The sequence below is a fragment of the Homo sapiens genome, chromosome 6 (assembly GCF_000001405.40).
Source record: "Homo sapiens chromosome 6, GRCh38.p14 Primary Assembly".
Taxonomy (NCBI): domain Eukaryota; kingdom Metazoa; phylum Chordata; class Mammalia; order Primates; family Hominidae; genus Homo; species Homo sapiens.
The window spans coordinates 118291180-118310891 of NC_000006.12; the positions used below are offsets into that span (position 1 = coordinate 118291180).

The 19712-nt window shown below is 38.2% G+C and overlaps 1 protein-coding gene and 1 long non-coding RNA gene across 3 annotated transcripts in view; one reads left to right on the forward strand and one right to left on the reverse strand.

The window, feature by feature from the left end:
- SLC35F1 (solute carrier family 35 member F1) overlaps positions 1-19712 on the forward strand; it is a 410408-nt gene that overhangs the window by 383916 nt on the left and 6780 nt on the right. The gene's annotated exons all lie outside the window — the stretch shown is intronic.
- Positions 9461-19288, reverse strand: LOC124901387 (uncharacterized). Its single transcript, XR_007059723.1, has 2 exons — positions 19069-19288; positions 9461-12137 (listed from the first exon to the last, which is right to left on the reverse strand). It is a non-coding gene; the product is annotated as an uncharacterized LOC124901387 (long non-coding RNA).

The window sequence follows — 19712 nt, forward strand, 5'->3', positions numbered from 1 at the left end:
TGTAACATTCAAAAATGGTTATGGTGATGATATGGGAGTGGGAGAAGCAGCTGTATCATGTATACACACACACACACACACACACACACACACACACACACACACATATATAATAACTTTGGGAAAAGCTGTGTGTATATATATATCTTTGGGAAGATACATAAAAAAAGTCTATTTTGGGGAAAAAGTATTTAAATCCTTTCCCATTTTTAAATTGGTCACTTGTCTTTTTATTATTGGGCTGTAATAGTTCTTCAGATATTCTGGATACCCGACTCTTATCAGATATATGGTTTGCAAATATTTTTCCCATTCTGTGATTGTCTTTTTACTTTCTTGCTAATGTCTTTAAAACACTAAAGTTTTAAATTTTGATCACACTTTAAATTTATCTATTTGGTTAAACCTGTATAAACATGAAAGGAACCAAGTTAATGCCGCCGCTGCCTTTGAGCTGCCAGGCATTCCCTGGTGGCTTCCATATACGTCTCCTCTCCTGGGCTGCAAGTAATAACTGCTAATTGCCTGGCATTGCTCTAAAGGGATAGTTGGAAATCACAGCCTTCAGGAGAGGCATCTTTAAACTAAATGAAATGTTGTGTGGAAAAGGGTTTAGTCAGTAAGCTTAAACTGAAGAGTTTAAAAAATACTGATGTGGCTGGGCACGGTGGCACACACCTGAAATCCCAGCATTTTGGGAGGCTGAGGCAGGTGGATCACCTAAGGTCAGGAGTTCAAGACCAGCCTGGCCAACATTGTGAAACTCCGTCTCTACTAAAAATACAAAAATTAGCTGGGCATGGTGGCAGGGGCCTGTAATCCCAGCTAGTCGGGAGGCTGAGACAGGAGAATTGCTTGAACCCGGGAGGCAGAGTTTGCAGTGAGCTGAGAGCAGGCCACTGCACTCCAGCCTGGGAGACAGAGTGAGACTCCATCTCAAAAACTAAATAATAAATAAATAAATAAATAAGATACTGATGCTTGGGTTCCCCTCTCACTGATTCTAAGCACCCAAGCATCAGAGGTTTAAAGGCTCCCCAGGTGATTCCAGGGTGTAGCCAGGGTTAGACCCCTGGTTCAGACTTACTGTACATGGCTGCAAGCAGGTAGAACTGGGACCAAAGGGTGAAGTTTACGAGCTTATTGCTAAATATAAAGACACATTGTTAACAAGTAGCTGAAAGTGCAATACACTGTCTTGGGAAGCAGGAGTTTCCATGGCTAGAGGAAGCAGGACACTGATGTGAGAGAGTACCGAGGGGCCTCAGCTTCTGTGCTGAGGATTGGACCACTGACCTAGTAACCTCTGAGAGCTCACTTGGTTTTACTATGGTCTACAATTACAGATTATTCTTTAACTTAATGATGATGTCTTTGAGCAGCTTTCTGGTCTGGTTATAAATATCTGCATGTTGGAGAGGAGGGCTAGTTTTTCACAGATGTTGCTTATCCACGCAGAACTAAATGACTAAATGAAGCTCGCCTGCCTAACATTGATTATTTGGTTGTTTTTTTTTTTTTCACTTTCCACTCTTGGAAAAAATCCATTCCTTTTCCCTCCCATCATTCCGCTGTCTGCAACAGCTCTGCCTCTTGCGCTGACTGCTGTGCTGACTGGACAGTAAAGCCCCATGTTCCTGGGAAGCAAATGACCTAATTCTAAATTCATCTATCTGAAAGGCATAGTGCTTCTGCAAACTCTAAATCTTACAAGACTTTGAGAAGTGGTTATGTATTTCTATTCTTTATTACCTGACAACATTATTGAATCCAGAGCAGTAAATCTATAGCCATCCACAGAAAGCACAGGAAATGAGCTTGACTGGGCCTCAGAGACCCCTGAAACCAAGCCCAGGAAGAGACTGACATGGAGGCTTTTCCATTGGAGGGTGTGCTGGCTTTTCAAGGTCAGAGCTTGGTCTGAGGTCTATCATCTTATAAGTATTGTACAAACAAGACACTGTTGAAATTGAAAGGGTGTTAGTTTCCTATTGCTGCTGTAACAAATTACCACAAATTTAGTGGCTTAAAAAATAACCCAAATTTACTATCTTACAGTTCTGGAAGTCAGAGCCTACTTGGGCTAAAATCAAGTATTAGCAGAGGTATGTTGGTTCTGGAGGCTCTAGGGGAGAATCCATTTCCTTACCGTTTCCAGCTTCTAGAGGCCACCTGTATTTCTTGGCTCATGGCCTCTTCCTCCATCTTCAAAGCCAGCAGAATGGCATCTTCAAATCAGACTCTGCCATGCCTGCTTTTCTCTTTTGGACCTGCTATTACATTCAGCCCACCCAGATAATTCAGGATAATATCCTCACCTCAAAATCCACATCTGCTAAGTCCCTCTTACCTCATAAAGTAATATATTCACAGGTTTAAGGGATTAGGGTGTGAATATCTTTGGGGGATTATCATTTTGCCTACCCCAACAGGACTAGTAATAATTCTACCAGGACAATACGAGTATACTGACTAGAAGCCAGGCCAGCTGGGATGTATGGACATGTGGTTCAGAAGCTGTGTCTGGACAATGACGACACATTCTCTGCCTACAGACACTATGCTCTGTTGAATTTCCTAACTGATTTTTAAAGTAGTTCAGGTATCTTGCTAGTATGTGATTTTAATAAAGAAAACACTAAGTCATGTGGAGAGAGAATAAATTGGAGTGGGAAAACTATTTCAACATCTGCCACATAAAGTGTGAATTAAGCAGCATGGTGTGTCCGAAACAGCATGGACTTCAGAGTCCAAGGAGCCTAGATTTAAACTGGCTTCTGTGTATGCTTTAAGTTATTTGGGCCAGTTACTTATTCTCTCTAAACTTCAAGGTGATGAGATTTGCCTTATGGAGCTTCACAGGGGATTAAGTTAGATAATGTATAAAAGGTGACCAGCAGTGATACAGTTCTCTGCTTAAACATATGTTTCAGGGTTAGTAATTCCTGTCTTATTTCATTTTTGGACTATTAACCTTATTTTATGATTTTGTAACTAGATGTACTGCTTAACAATTTTGTATGAGTTCTCTCCAACTTTTTTCCTGTTTGAAAAGGCAAGCCTGGGGTCTCATGCATAAAAATGTAGAAAACATTGTATTAGTCATTTTTGGCTGATTTCTTTGATTCCTTTATTGCTTACCATAGAATTTTTAGGTGACAACCAGAAATACAAAACATCTGAGGGTTGTTAAAGTAAAATGCCAAACAGTTCTTTCACTGTATGCCATCGCGTGCTGAACATTCTTCAGGAAAATAGCAGCTGACATGAAATATACAGAAAATTCCTTTTTGCCTGACATTTAAATGACGATGGCTTATTTCACACATTTACTATTAACATGTCAAGGCTTAATATTGCCACAAAATTGTTGTAATAAAGTTGAGAGTAATTTCATGAGAACATGTTATTTTCGTAACTTTATTAAAACAAACTAGAAACTAATAGACAAAAATGAACATCATAAGTACTCTCCAAGTCCCCTTTAAACACTTCACTTGGGCCATTGGTTTATATGGCTCTCCATGCTGAACAGGCTGAAGCCACAGACCATCCTGTTTGAAGAATATCTTAGGAAGATATGGGCTCCATAAAACTATTCTTGCATCAGGAAAGTGTTTTTTATCATACAAATAATTACTAAAAAAAAAAAGAGAGATTTCAAAATCAGTTATCCAAAAGTCAACTCCAACTATTCTAGGTAATGTGATTAATGTGAATTTTGTAGGATTTCATGTGCATGTTTTCATTAGAAAACATTCTGTGTGTCTTAGTCTCATATTTATACCAGATAATTTTTAAATAATTGCTTTGAGTTACAAAATAATCAGAAAAGTTTTTAAATGTCAGCAGCCTGTGCTGGCAATCCAGGTGACATCCTATGAGGACAGGTGTAGAGCTCCACAGTCCACCCTGACCCTCCCCGTCAGCTCCTAAAATTATATCTATCCCATATGTGCCAGCTTCTCTTACTGTTTTGTTGTGGTGGTTGTTATAAGAGATTTGGCAAACAAAGTTAAATAACTCTGGACCTGAGGTCATTATAATAATATATTATTATGTATTAAATTTAAAAGAATGATATCCAGACAATATTTATTTATTCTGTACCTGTTATGTGCCAGCCACTGTTTTGGTGCATAACTTTTTATTTATAAGTGAAGATGACAGAAACACCAAAAATCACCAGGCAGATTAATGCAAAGGATAAGGTTCCAAAACACTAAAACTTTAGTAGACAGCAGTATCAACTATCCTTAACATCTGAGTCCCAATGCCAGAGAGTTTACAGAGACTGGAAACTTTCATTAAGAGTGGAATCTTTCATTAGACATGAATCAGAATCCTGAGCCAAGCAACCCTGTTGATCCTCTGTGTCAGTGAGCAATCTCAGTAATGTCACTGCACTTGAAAACTAGGGCAGGCAGCCTCAACCTGTGGCAGCTGATGAGCATAATAAAAGCAATACTTCACTTCTTATTTTTTAAAATGCCCTCATAAGTAGCCTGTTAGGTTTCTTGTATGTAAAAATGACATCTTAAAAGGCTATGGATGTTAAGCTTATAGTGCCCAAATGTAATTAGAAATAGGAGATTTAAAAATTAATACTTAGCCTTTTATGACTTTACAATACTTTTTAAAGTATTGCTAGTGAGAAAAGAATTAGGGAAACTGGCATCTCTGAAGCCCAAAGTATTACACATGGAATACCAAGGTGGAAGAGCAATGAGCGTTTGACTTTGGCTTTCCCCTGCACTGTTAAGAGTACAGCCCCTTTTGAGGCTTCGTCTTGCTGAATAACTTAGGGTAAGTGTTGCTAGCTTCTAGCAGTGGGGAAGGGATGCATTTCCATGCAGCCATTCAGGAACCCAGGTGCCTTCCATTTTGTGGCTCTGCCATCCTCTAGTGCAGGAGTCAGAAAACCCTAACCTGTGAGCCACCCCCTATTTTAGTAAATAAAGTTCTATTGGAGCAGAGCCATGCCCATTTCTTCACATATTATCCATGGCTGCTTTTGTGCTACAATGGCAGTGTTGAGTAATTGTGACAGAGTATATGACCCATAAACCCAAAATAGTTACTACTGTCTAGCTCCTTAAGAAGTCTGCCCATGCCTGGGCTAGGCACTTGGAGTCCTCTGTGGGACTCCTTCTTAGACAGCCTGGAGACTTTCATGGCTGTGTTTAGAGTGGTGTGTCTACAGCCCCTCCCATTCTCTTGGCCAAAACTCAGTCACATGGCCACACCTAATAATTGCAAGGGAGGCTGGGAAATGTGGTCAATCTATGCAGGAAGAAAAGAAAATGGGTTTAGTGAACAAGTAGCTGGTCTCTGCTACACTAGCAATTTCCATTTCCCAGGAATATGAGAAGGATTAGAGAAGTTGGGAATAAATGGTGAGGCAAGCCCAGAATTATAGCCAGAAGCCAAAGTTCCTTGTACAAAAATCTATTCATGAACTCCACATCACAAAACAAATATTTTGAGCTCACGTCATCATGATAAGCTGTGAGGAAAGATTGAACGGGCTAGAGGTACTGCAGAAGTTTCAAACGGAAAGGATTGTGATTGGATTGGGGCATAACCAAGAAAAAAGCAGCTAGTTGTCTCCCAGGACAATGCCTGGAATGTGTTTGTCACCAAAATGAACAGCCTGGCCGTTCAGTCGTATTCACAAGATTGAATGGCAACAATCTTGCCCATTCAGTCTCCTAATTTTGTCAGCAGACCTGTGTGGATCCGTCTTCCATGGACCAGAATATTAATAAACCAAACTCATAGAAATCAGAGTATCAGTTTGCTAAGATGTAAAACAAAGATTGGCTCGAACATTAAAGGCTGAAGCAGAACCACTACTCTACACATCTCTAGGGGCCACCAAGGACTGAAGACTTTTTTTCAACTCTATATTTAAAGTGTTAAGAGTTGTGATTTACTCTCTTCCATGAAAGATGATTAACATTGTCCTCCCTCATTTCCTTGACTTTTACTGTACTGTTTTTATATTATCAATATTTTAATAGTTAACTTCTGTAAATATAACCCCTATGGTTTTTATACCATACTTCCACACTTACTACATTTGCTGTACCACCAGTCTCTGAAATATAGGTTCTTCTTTTCTGAATTTATTTTGATTAATCCCTTAGGAGGCTGGATTTCATCACTACTGGTATTGTCAAGAGGCAATACAGCTATGTATGGTTGTACAGGCTGCACACAGTGCAATTTGACCATTTGTAGAGAATATGTTCCCTATAATGCGAAAGCAGATGGTCATCAAGTGTCTTGATTCACTGCGGAAGTGCTATTGGGTTAGCAGTGAGTCTACCAGGAAATGTTCACAGGGGTTGCATTCCTAAGTCTTTACTTCTTTGAAAACATGTCTACTCTTTAAATTCAAAGGATAATTCTATCCTAAGTTGCATTTTTTTCTCAGAACTTATATATATATATATAAAAAATATATATATAATATATATAATATTATATAAGTTCTGAGAAATATATATTATATATATAAGTTCTGAGAAATATATATTATATATATAAGTTCTGAGAAATATATATATATAATATATATATAATATATATATATACACACATATATTTTTTTTCAGTTGAGCACTGCACCCTGATATGGTTTGGATGTTTGTTCCCTCAAAATCTCATGTTGAAATGTAATCTGCAATGTTGGAGGTGGGGCCTTGTGGGAGGTGTTTGGGTCATGAGGGCGGATTCCTCGTGAATGGCTTGGTGCCATCTTCATGGTAATGACTGCATGCTCTGTGAGTTCACATGAGATCTGGTTGTTTAAAAGAATCTGGGACTTCCTCCCTGCTCTCTTGCTCCCTCTCTCATCATGTGACATGCCTGCACCTCCTTCACCTTCTGCCAAGATTGTAAATTTCCTGAGGCCCCCACCAGAAGCAAAGCAAATGCTGGTGCCATGCTTATACAGCCTACAGAACCACAAGCCAAAATAAACCACTTTTATTTATAAATTATCCAGTCTCAGATATTCCTTTATAGCAATGCAAATGGACTAATACACAGCCAGTCCTTTTTCAATATCGTGAGTCACTGGATTTTATCATTTAAGGAGTTGTGTGACTTCCTTTTCAAAAATAGAGCTCACAAGTATTATATCTCAGGGTTCTCTTTGACAACATCTCTAATGTCTTTACATTCATAGGTCATCTTGACCTATGACCCATCCAACTCTCAGGAGTATAACCCCCTTGTGACCTTATTTCCCCTTGAACTAGAGGAGTTCAATTGCTCCTCTAGTCCATCACAAATCCCCAGATAATGGCAAGCCCCAGTGACTCTCTACCTCCCCAAGAATCTTAGGCAGTACATAATGGTTTCTATTCCTGACAATAGTTTCTTGACTGTTTCCTGAGTTCACCCAAACACCACTTCAATAAGTCCTCTCCGAATTGCAAAGTTTTCTGTTAATCTCCAGAGTCAGCCAACTCCACTTCTTTCCTCTGAATGACTTCTGGTAGGTAATGCTGGGTTAGCAACAATGCTGATTCATGCTGGAATCTCCTAGACTCTCCCTTGACTAACTTTTCAAAATTTATGCCATATGATTAAACCGCTTTTCTTATTTGGTTGCTACCAAAAATTTGGCTGGTTTTGACTTCAGAGTTCATTCCCTTAAGCACTGCTCTCCTCTGACTTCTTTACTCAGAAATACTTTTATTGTGCTGGGCATGGTGGCTCATGCCTGTAATCCCAGCACACTGGGAGGCCAAGGTGGGAAAATTGCTTGAGCCTAGGAGTTTGAGAACAGCCTGGGCAACATAGGGACACCTCATCTCTACAAACATATATATTTTTTAAATTAGCCGGGCATGGTGGCATGCACCTGTGGTCCCAGATACTCGGGATGCTAAGGTGGGAGGATCACTACAGCCTGGGGGGTCGAGGCTGCAGTGAGCCATGATCACACCACTGCACACTAGCCTAAGCAAACAGTGAGACCCTATCTCAAAAACAAACAAACAATAAAACCTTTTATTGGCATAGTCGCATGCATACTTTCATATATAAACATTTAAGCAAGAATTTGTGTCCATAGAGACAAATCTGAAAGGATGTTTATGAAAATGTAAACGTTTCCAAGGGCAGGCAGAATGGCAGCGTTGTCATGAGTTGTTACAGCCCAGCTGTGAATTCCAGCTCCACTTCCTACCAATGGGTCCATAAATTTGTTGTGCCATGGCTCAGTTTGGCAGTCAGATGAAGCCTAGAGATCTGTTTTAATAATGTTTTAAAATGTCTAAAATAAAATATATGGAATTGCAGAACCAACTATATTAAAATAACATTATCGGAATATTTTAAAATGTGATGATATAGTAATATACAAATCACAAGATCTAGAAGCAGATCTATTAACTACTGTCATTTCAAAGCAGTGATTAGCATAAGAGATATTTGGAGAGATGTGCAGCGATTGTAATGCGAAGTAAAAATATACACTGTGTATGATTTATGTTGGTGGAAAAGGCTAAAGTGCTTCTAATACCACTGAAGCTCAATGCCTACATTTGCAATTGAAGAATTGCTAAATGTCAGTTAGAGGTCAGTGAAAATAAGGTCCAGGTTTCTCATCCAGGCTCACAGACCCCACGAATTCTATACAGGGACCCCTGGTTAAGAATCCCTGAAACAACCAGTTACACAGCCTCGTGCAAAAGTTACATCTCTAAACTATAGTTTTCCCACCAAAGGGGGGTCATAATAGTACTTCTCTCATTAATTGTGAGGCATAAATGAAATAGTACATGTAAATCATTTACTGCAATATCCAGCACAGTGAATATTCAACAAATAATGCTGTTATTAAGGCTAGTAGAATTGTTAGTACAATCAGCCCTCTGTATCCATGGGTTCCATATCCATGGATTCAACCAACCATGGATTGAAAATAATTAAGGGGAAAAAATTACATCTGTACTGAACCTTATACAGACCATTTTTTTTCTTGTCATTATTCCCTAAAGAATACAAAATAACAACTATTTAGATAGCATCTGTATTGTAGTGGGTATATCGTAGTGGGTATTATATGTAATCTAGAGCCGATTTAAAGTATACAGGAAGTCATATGCAAATACTACACCATGTTATATGAGGGACTTGAGCATCTACAAATTTTGGTATCCAAGGAAGATTCTGGAACCAATTCCCCATGGATACTGAGTGATGGCTATACTTGTATTTCATGTTCTTCACACTTTTAAGTATTGCAGAACTTATGTATTGCTAAAACACTATATGAACATTTGTTACTTTTACCCATTTTTATAATCACAAAACAATAAAGTTATTTTCAGTTTGAAAACAAAGCTAGCAATCCCCTTGAATAAGAAGGAACTCTAAATAGGAATCTTTGCCATTGAAAAAATGGACAAAATTATAACAGACACTGGTTAGAAGATTAAAATGGTTTATGATCAGTTTTAATTGACAAATATGAACAAAAAAGTCTAAGTTTTTCATTGTTTCTGTTTTGACTATTGTTATATTTAAGAACTCTTCACTCATTAGATTGCTAAGTACTAACTTACAGTCATATGCCTGGTTTCCTTCTCATTTGAATTATTTTAGAATAAAATTTTATTTTTTAAATAAGTACATTATAACCATTCTGTGAGTCCTCAGCTTTAGCAATGTGACTGAATTTAATTAGAATGTACATGTTGGTGATCAGTTTCACACCCGCTTCCTTCTGGATGCTCATGAAACCAGACATTCCAGGTGCAGGAATGTAGCTGTGTTCCATTGCTCTGTGGAGGTTTCCGTAGTTATGAATTGTACTGGTGTTTCCTTTGTGTTCCAACCAATTCCATCTTTAAATGAAAGGACTGGCTTTATGTTGGAGGTCAGGACTAAGTTCCAGGATGACAGAGACCTCATAGGGCTCCTTCTCTGCTGGGTGCTGTGTCTCTGATGCTTACTGCAGAGCCTGGCACAGTAGGTGTTTGGTAATTATTTTTTTAATGAAGGTTTATTTTCACAGGAAACATTGAAGTTTAATCTTCCACTTTCTAGGCTGAACATTATCTAGAAATTTTCATGTTGGAAGCCAGAAAGCTTTTGATAAATGTCAACTCTATGTCTCAAGTTGATGAAACCAGCTGAAAAACAAAAATTCAGATCCCACACAATAGTGAGCCACTGTTTTGATTCATTCTTTGATTGAATTGATAGATTGCTTAGGGAACATCTCAAGGGAACATGGAAATCAGAAAATGAGTTCAATACCATCATAACTGTATGCAGTGTTAAGGGGGGGTATGAAGGAATGGAACTCACATTAAAGGCTTAACATTTGGTAAGAAATTTATTTGTAGAAAAAATAAATTTTAATATTATAGCTAATATTTAGATTTATTTTTCATATCATCCCACATTAAATTGTGAAATTAGTCATTATCACATACAATGTTTAGGCATCTATATTGGTAGCTATAGATATAGATATATTGGTAGGCCAGCAGTCAGCAAACTTTTCCATGAAGGGGCAGATTATAAATATTTTAGGCTTTGCAGGCCATACGGTCTCCATCACAACTACACAACTGCCGTGGACATGGCTGAGTTCCAATAAAACTTTATTCACAAAACCAGGTAGATGCCAGATTTGTTAGTTTTCTGACCCTTGATGTAGACTGTAACTGTCCTTGCAAGCTTTTCTTTAGTCTTTGGCACCAGGAAACAACCATTTCCTCAACAAAGTGTGTCATTAATAAAGCTGCTTAAAGGTTGAAGCTATACACAAAATGTTACAAATTTCTTTGCACTTCAAATGTGCAAACTTGTTTTCAAAGCCAATTGTAATTATTTCTACCCAGTTTTAAGTGAAGTGTCTGCCCCCTATTTGAGTTCTTGGTGGCATCTAACGCCGTATCTATTAGTTTTGTTATAAGGATATCTGTAGCATACACACAATGCTGTGAAATATCTTCAGTTTAATAGTTTATGGTTTTCACTACTTACGAGGAATGAGTGGGTACCAATGCAAACCAGTAGCCCTGAGCTAAGATGTGTGAGAGAAGGAATGTTAAAGCAGTAGCTTATAAAGAACAGTCAACTATTTGGGAAGGAAACGCATGGGAGACAGGGAGAGCATTCTAAACTGATTTCACACATATAGTGCACCCCAGGAGGAACCATTTCAGGAAGTAACAATAATATTATCAAATTAACTTTTCCCAGAATCATATATCCAGAGAAAAGAGACTGGTATACACACAGGCTAATTTTACAACAAAGAAGTCCTTTTCAAGTTACAGGTCTTTTTACAGCTTGGTGATGTCTCACCATGCCCATCTTCCTCAAAAATACATAGACACATATAGATGGTTATGAATATATTGGTTCATGAATGTCAAACTTAGGGGACACCTCTAGATTTTGAGGGCAAAAATTTGCTTACATAATAATAGCATAACTCAAAGTTCACTTTGTTTTCAAGTCTTAAGACATTAGACAATTTAATTTTTATGATATTAATAGGTATAAAGTTTAATTTTAAAAAGGAAAAAGAAACTAGCAATGTTATTGAATGTCTCAGTTACATTTTTTCCTACTACCCCATGGATTTCAAGGAATATACAGTACTGTGAAAATTCAATAATAATGACATTGTTAAGTTTTAGTATGGAATACTTTGAGCCCAGTGCCCATACTTCTCCATGATACTCTGGAATTTAAAGGTGAATATTGAAGGCTATTTGCGAGAAGGTAGCAACTGTTTATCAGGAAACAAACAGCTTATTTAGAAAAAAAAAAAAACATTAAACCCATAATATGATTTCTTTTTTGACAGCTGCCATTTCATAATATTCTTTACAAATAACTTACTCATCTACTTATTTCATTTTTTTGTCTTTCTTGCCACCACCAGGTACATGAAAGAGAAAGAAATATAGAATTCCAATACTGATGCAAGGGAGCTCATTTTTCATTTTGTCAAGGGGTTTCCTCCTTCCCACAGCCATGATAGTATTTCCTGATGATTGTTCATTGCTATAAATTGAAAAAGAACAGCTTCCAAGTTTATCAATAATCCATTAAGGGTGTTCCAACAGAAGTTGAATTAAAGTTGAGTCCTTCCCCTATGCAAAAGAAAGATAGATTGCCCTTAGAAGCTTGAGTATAGGGAATGGAAGAAACAAAAAGAATTACTACTTTGTAATGCAGCTAACAAAGTAATTAGGAGAGAGGGAAGAGAATTGGGCCAAGGGCCAAGGCCTTTGGGCACTGTGTAAGCTGTCACTACAAGATCTGAGACCTAGGTGTACTGCTAAACCTCCTAGTAGTACCTACTAAACCTCCTCACACCTCCACCTTCCTTAGCATCAAGATGCTTATCATGGTACTCTATGCTTATCGTGGTACTCTATGCTTCTCTGAGGGGTTGGTGTTTTAAAAATGAAATGATATATACAAAAATACTTCGGAAGCAGTAGACTACAGCTTTGTTTGCTAAGATGATCATACCTAATTTAGAGTTGTTACTCATTATGCTTTCCTGAATATTGTTTTCTTAGAATAAGAGAGAGCAAGCTCTCTGGTGTCTCTGCTTAAAAGGACACCAATCCTATTGGACCATGGTCCCACCCTTATGATTTCATTTAACCTTAATTACTTCCTTAAAGGCCCTGTCTCCAAGTACAACCATATTAGGGGTTAGGCTTCAACATATGAATTTTGGAGAGACACAATGTAGTCCATAGCATCAAGGATAATCTCTCATCTCAAGATACTCAATTTAAGCACATCTGCAAACACTCTTTTTCCAAATATTGTAATGTGTATAGGCTCCAGGGATTAAGATGTGGATGTCTTTTGGTGGACTATTTTTCAGCCTACCACACCAAGGAAGTAAAGTGAATTGCTAGAGTTACTCATATATGCTCATGGGTGCTCAAACATGATTTGTGCCAATGCAGAGTAGTTGCTCAAAATTGATAAACAATGTAAACAGAATAGAAAATTATGAGGATTCCTGTGACTTATGTAATTATGCATTATTAAAAATATCTCACTTGGGAAGCTGAGGCAGGACTGCTTGAGAACAAGAGTTTGAGGCTATAGTGTGTGATGATCTCACTTGTGAATAGCCACTGCATTCCAGCTTGGGCAACATAGTAAGACTTCATCTCTTAAAAAAAAAAAAAAGAAGAAGAAAAGAAAAGAAGAAGAAAGAAAGAAGGAAAAGAAATCTTGAAATAAACAGGTCCAAACATGGAGTCTATAAGCCAGAGGTTGATTATTTGCACTGATGAAAATGCCTTCTATTCCAGATGGGTTGATTGTTCTGTTCTTTTTTTAAATAGCCAGTTCCATAAATGCATTTGCAATTCAAATTGATTTGTGGTGAACTTTTCAGAAAGGCATCTGAGGAAGATTTTTATACCAATCTTGGCTTTAGAATTTACTCTTCGTGATGTAAGGATAACAATCACTGACATTTGTTTAACATTTAGTATGTGGCAAGCACTATACCAAGAGTTTTATATCTCATCTCATTCGATGCTCACAATGATTTCATATAGCAGGTGCTATTATTGTCCTTAGTTAACTGATGAGTGGCCTGAGGCTTGGAGATGTAGGGAACTTGTCCAAGACACAGCAAGGAAGAGGCAAACAGGCATGTAAATCCCATGATTTTGATTCTAGAGCTCATATCATGAAACACCACTTGATATTCCCTGAAAAATATCATTAAACATTGCACTTCTAAAACTTACACAGAGAGAAATTGTTACAAGTTTACATCACAGTCAAAGATCTTTAGTGTCACAGATTGTCATTATATTAGCAGAGAAACAGAATCAACAGGAATGTGTGTGTGTGTGTGTGTGTGTGTGTGTGTGTGTGTGTGTGTGTTCAGAGAGAAAGAGAGATTGATTGATTTTAAGGAATTGATTCAGGCCATTGAGGGCTGACAAGTCCAAAATCTACAAGGAAGACCCAGCGGGATAGAAATCCAGGAAAAAAGTTGTCTGAAGGCAATCTGGAGGTACAGTTTCCTCTTCCTGGGGGGCCCTCAGTCTTTTTTTTCAAGACCTTCAACTGATTGGGTGAGGCTCACCCCACCCACATTATGGAAAGTGATCTGTTTTACTCAAAGTCTACTGACTTAAATGTCAATCTCATTTTTAAAATACCTTCACAGAAACATCTGTTTTGTCCAATACCTAGGTACTGTGTCCCAGCCAAGTTGACTCATAAAATTAACCATCACAAGTCCATCCCTTTTCAACTTGGCATCAATTTCACATGTCTTTTAAATAATACTTAATATCTAAATAAAGACAATAATAATAAGGTGCTATTTTTGCCTAACATGATATGACTATCCTGCATACAATTAGAAAACACACTAACCCTTGCCTTACAAGCAGATGCAAAGTCCTTAGATGATGATGTTCACCCTTTTCCTTCATATCCTTTAATATTATGATATAAAGTCAATATTATATAATGTTATCTTGTGTTATATAATAAAGAGACAAGGGTAGGAAGAAAACAAATATATTTGCTATATATACACACACAGAAGTGTGTTCATAACAAGGAAGAACTATTTATGACAATTACGGTCCTCGTTTCTGTAACTGGTCACATGGTTGCAGCTGGTATGTTCTTCCACTGTGGTTTCTGTATTCCCTGGTCATGGTTATTTACCTCGTGGAGTGACTCTAAACCTTCATTTCTGAAGGGTCAAGTACACTAATAGTACTGCCTGGATTGATTTATTGTAGTTTCTATTGACTTTTATCATAGGTCATGATAATCCTAAGAGATGCCCTAAAGGACCTCCTCCTGTATGCCAGACAGGCTCTTCCTTACTTCCCTGGTAAAGTAATAGTCCAGTTTCCCCTCGGTAATTAAGTTCAGCCACACAGCCAGAACTAAACTCCCTTCTTTGCCTATTGTTTCAGAAGCATGAGGAGCCCAAAATGGCCAGGTGGCAGCCTTAACTTTCAGTGCATGGAACCTTTGTTCTGTCTTCCGGCAGAAGCGTTCTTCTCTCTGACCTTAAATTTTTAAGATCAACAGAGCAAAGGTTGCAGTGACAGGAAGCATAAATTTTGCTAGTGGCTAACAGGGCTAATAGAAAATGATGACATTTCCATTTCCACCCCTTGATTCCATTGTAATGGGGCAGAAGTCTCTGGGATCTGTTGAGCTGCTACACTACCACTTCTACAAACTCAGTATTTTTCCCTGGCTTTAAAATTCAGTCTCTTACAAAATTGCTGTAGCCCAGCATGTACCTCTGTGTTTTGCAGAGGGAAAGTAGATGTCTTGTGATGCAAAAGTCCAAACGGAATGAAGGCCACTGCTCAGTGTGCCTCCCACACAAATGTAATGTCTTTTTGACTACTGATAATAAGAACGATGCATGGGAAGGTGACATAAATGAGCCATTGAATGGCCTTTGTTGTAACTGAGCCTATAATTAAACATTCCCACAGAGTAAGCCCCTCTGTTCCACTTCTGGCTTGGCTATTACGGCCTCTCTTTTTTATTGGAATGCAGAAAATAGAAATCTGTGTGAACAAGGATTTCTATCAGTTCATCAGACCAAGTGAAACTGTCTGTTTGTCATATAGAAGATAATGGCAGAAATCCATTTTTAGCTCCCGATTGCTGTATTCATGTGTGAAATTACCCACAGGGGAAGATATTTGCCTATAAAAGAGCTCTTATTGGCCTTAGATGTGATTGGCTGCACAAATTATACTGCCAAATGAATTGGTTTTGCAAACTAAACAGAAGGCCTCATAAACCAAACTGGGATAGCAGCTCAGAGCACAGCCTTGCCCTGGGTGATAGTGTAGGCACACAGAGGCCAAGGGCCATGGTTGCTACTTCTCTTTGCTTTAACAACACAATGCTTGGAGAATAAATCATTTCCCAAGTATTTAAATCTTAGCAATGATTTGGTTTTCTGATACGAATACAGAATCCATTTGGCATTCTGACTAAGGCACTCGTTTGTTTATTTTTGTCTTGATTAAATTAACATGAATTGAGATTCAAATTCTCAAATTGGAGAAAGAAGGAGAGGCAGGGGTTTGTGGGGGTCATTATTCTTACTCTCTAAAGACAACTGATTTTGGTATTTGTCAGTAGATTCTGTAGCTTTCCCATGTTTAATATTTTGCATTGAATGACCTAGAAGAGCAAAATATCACAATATTTAACCAGAAAGATTTAGTCCTTTTTTTTTCCTAACAGAAAAGGAAATAAGGAAAAAAAGAAAAAGAGGAGAAATAAGGGACATGAGAAAGGAGACAGAGCAATAATTGAGGAGTTTGAAAGTATCTGAAAAAGCTCTGGTCTCTTCTGGCAATTTATTTCCAGTTCAGTAAACTCAGAAGCCGAACTTTTGCATTTTTAATGCACTTCATAATAATAAAAATGATCTTGTTGGTCTAGTGCAGAGCCAAAATTAGGAGGTCAGGCATCAACTTGTTTGTGTTCGTTTTTCCATGGAGCCAGGTTCGTCTAGTTGTCTTGGCCTGAATAGCAATTGGCTCGGGCCCAGTGGCAATAGATCAGGACCTGGCAGAGCTTTTCGTCCCAGGGTCTTACCGTTACAGGCCACAGCTTACAGCACGCTCAGCACTAACCAACATCCTTTCGTCCTGCACCAAGCAATTGTACCCAAGCTCCAGGTATGATCCTCAGCCCTCTGAGAAGCACAGGACTGCCAAGAGTTGAGCTGTATTGTCAATGCTGAATTGTCCTCTCCCTCCCTATAAGGACACGCAGAGGGTTGGCTTCATTTCTTCGAAGACAGTTGCCGAAAGGTCCACCCTTTAATTCACATATAAAGTGGGACTCCCCTTTTAGTTATTCTTCACTATAGCAGCATTACATTGAATGAATGATTTACTCTTAATTCACGTTACTTTCATTTAGTCACTGATGGATCTTTAAAACTACTCTGGTACCCAGGACTGCCAAACTGGTAATCTTCTTCCAATTTAAACAGAATTGGGCTCATTTATTCCTTCTTGATCTAGAAGTTATGGTTAGCGTGCAAGTTGATTTATTTTCATGTGTGCGTTTTATTTCACAGAGTAGGGAAGTAAAGGACACTTTGTCTTACATGGCAAAGAATAAGCAGTACAGTTTTCACAAACTTAATTAAAAGTCTCATTTTTCCCAGGAATAATGTGCCTGTTGAAATTAACAGACCAGTCGCTCTACATGGAAATTCTCCCTACTAGCTCCGAAACCCACATTTTCTGGGCTGTGCTACATAACCTTGAGAATGGCCAATCACTGCCAGGTATTTTCCTGCTTACCCATGGTTGCATTGATTTTGAAGCAACTGTTAAATTTGCAGATTCCAAGACTCTACCCTTATAGATGTTTTCTGCCAAAGAGTTAAAAATATGGGAAAGTTTAATTACATCTGTGTCTTTTTAAAATAAACTGAATAACAACTAGAAAGGACATGGTTATTATGGTCACCTGATGGCCACATATCCTTCATATATGCGAAATACCTTTTCATCAGAAGTCATGTCTAATAACACTTAGAAATATCCTTGTATTCATTTCTGTGCAGCCCCTTATGCAGTTCATGGACCAGTTTCAACTCTTGCCATTATCATGTTTCCAAGTAGTACATCTGTTTCAATGGCAGGCTTATATCCAATAGAGCCCCAAAAGGTAACATGTCTTTTGAAGTTTAACAATAATAGCACCCTTGAGCTACGGTGTGAAATATTTGGTGTTTGCTTCCTCCACTCATCATAGATAGCCTTGGGAACATCTGAGGGCTTGAAAGCATTGGCCTTAGCTCATGTGTGGTACATGAGAAGCCATCAGGGGCAGTGTTCTCTCAGGCTACTCACAGTGCTCAAGGAAAACAAGCATTCATTATACGAATGCAATTTCAGAAGGCAGATGGTATCAGGTCACCAGAAGGGGCCTGTAGATGTGTGTGTGTGTGTGTGTGTGTGTGTGTGTGTGCGTGTGTGTATTTTTTTTTAAGAGACAGCTTACCCAGGTGTAGTGTAGTGGCAGGACCATAGCTCACTGCAGCCTCAAACTCCTGCCTCAGCCTCCTGAGTAGCTAGGACTACAGGCATGCATTACCACACCAGGCTAGGAGCCTTTAAAAGCTGTATTACACAGAGACATATGCTTAAAGGGACTCTTTAAGGTACACTTCCCAGGGAAAAAGGAAAAAACCAGGCCCACCATATAGAAGTACTTGGTACATGCATTCAATAAAAGTAGAGCTGAAACCCAGAGTCCACTTTGTGCCTCTCTAGGGATCACCCATGTTCTCCTCTGCTGACCTCTGCCATGTTTTCAGTCAAGCTAGAAAAAGAAAGTTGCCCTTGAAGCATTGCCCTCTTCTTCACATAGTCTAGTTGATGTATTTATAAATGTACTTTGAAATGACTTTCAAACCACATGGTTTTCTACTTGTATAGATTTAAGTCCATTGAAGTCATTAGTTTGTTAAAATTCAACTTAGAAGTTAAATGCCAAAAATAAAATGAAAATTTGGTCTGTGATGTGCTGAATGCCACATCAACCAAATAGCAATCAAACTGACAGGCCAGCTTTCTAAGAGCTAGGTTTAACTCTGTCTGGAAGTTAAAGAGCTTTGTACAGGCTTATTATCCATCCTCCAAGCCACCTCGTCCTGTATAATAGCTTGTGTCTCAGTCAGATTGTTTTAAGCAGCACTCGGGGATTTTCATTATGTGCAGTGAGTGCCTTCTGACCTGTGTTCTCAAAGAGATTCATGAAGGTAGAAAAAGACAGCAGCAAAGTAAGCAGTGTCTGCAGTATGATCCTGTTAATATAGGATGTATCCTTTCTCAGATTCTTAGAGCTTCCAGTTAGATAAAATGCAGGAAAAACTATGTCTGCGGCACAGAACAAACAGCATATTCTGATGGCTACAGTTTGCAAAGGAGAAGACCTCCAAGTACACTTTGGACAGCAAGCAGCCCCTGCTCTCCAATGGAGACAGCCACCTTCTGCCTGAGCTTCCCTTACCTGTAACTCAGAGACAGCTTTCAGTCCTCATATAGCATTCCAGAGAAGTTCCTGATGTCTTTCCTTGGGGAGATAGAAATAAGTATTTCTTTGCAGTTAGTAAGTAGCCTAGATTGTACAATACTTTTGTCTGGTTGATTGGTTTTTTAAATGAATGTTCTACAAGATAAGTGCACCATCCAGAATAGGGGATCATTCTATTAGCCCTGATTCAATTTTCTTTTTCTTAATTAAACTAAAAAGAAGGAAAAATAAAACTTTTTTTACTTTTTTTTTAAAAAAATAAAACCTTTCTGTCAACATTTATAACATTCAGCATTTATCCTGATTAATCATAATGCTTGCTTGACTGCTGTCTTTTTGGACTTGTATTTAAAATGAAAACTTTCTCTACCATTTATTAATAAAGCCTCTTGGGTGACTTCCAAGATACTTCCACCATATAAAATCCCATGCTATCTATCTTTGGAGCTATTTTTTGACTGAATTCCATATGAATTAAATAGAAGTGCATTAAAAATAAACTATGTGTTATTATGCTAAAGCTGTGTCCCAAGAAAACAATTCTGTAAGGAATTTCTCGCTCAACCTGATGGTTCCATGTCCAAAAAAGGGATGATCCTTTAAGCAGTACATTACAATAG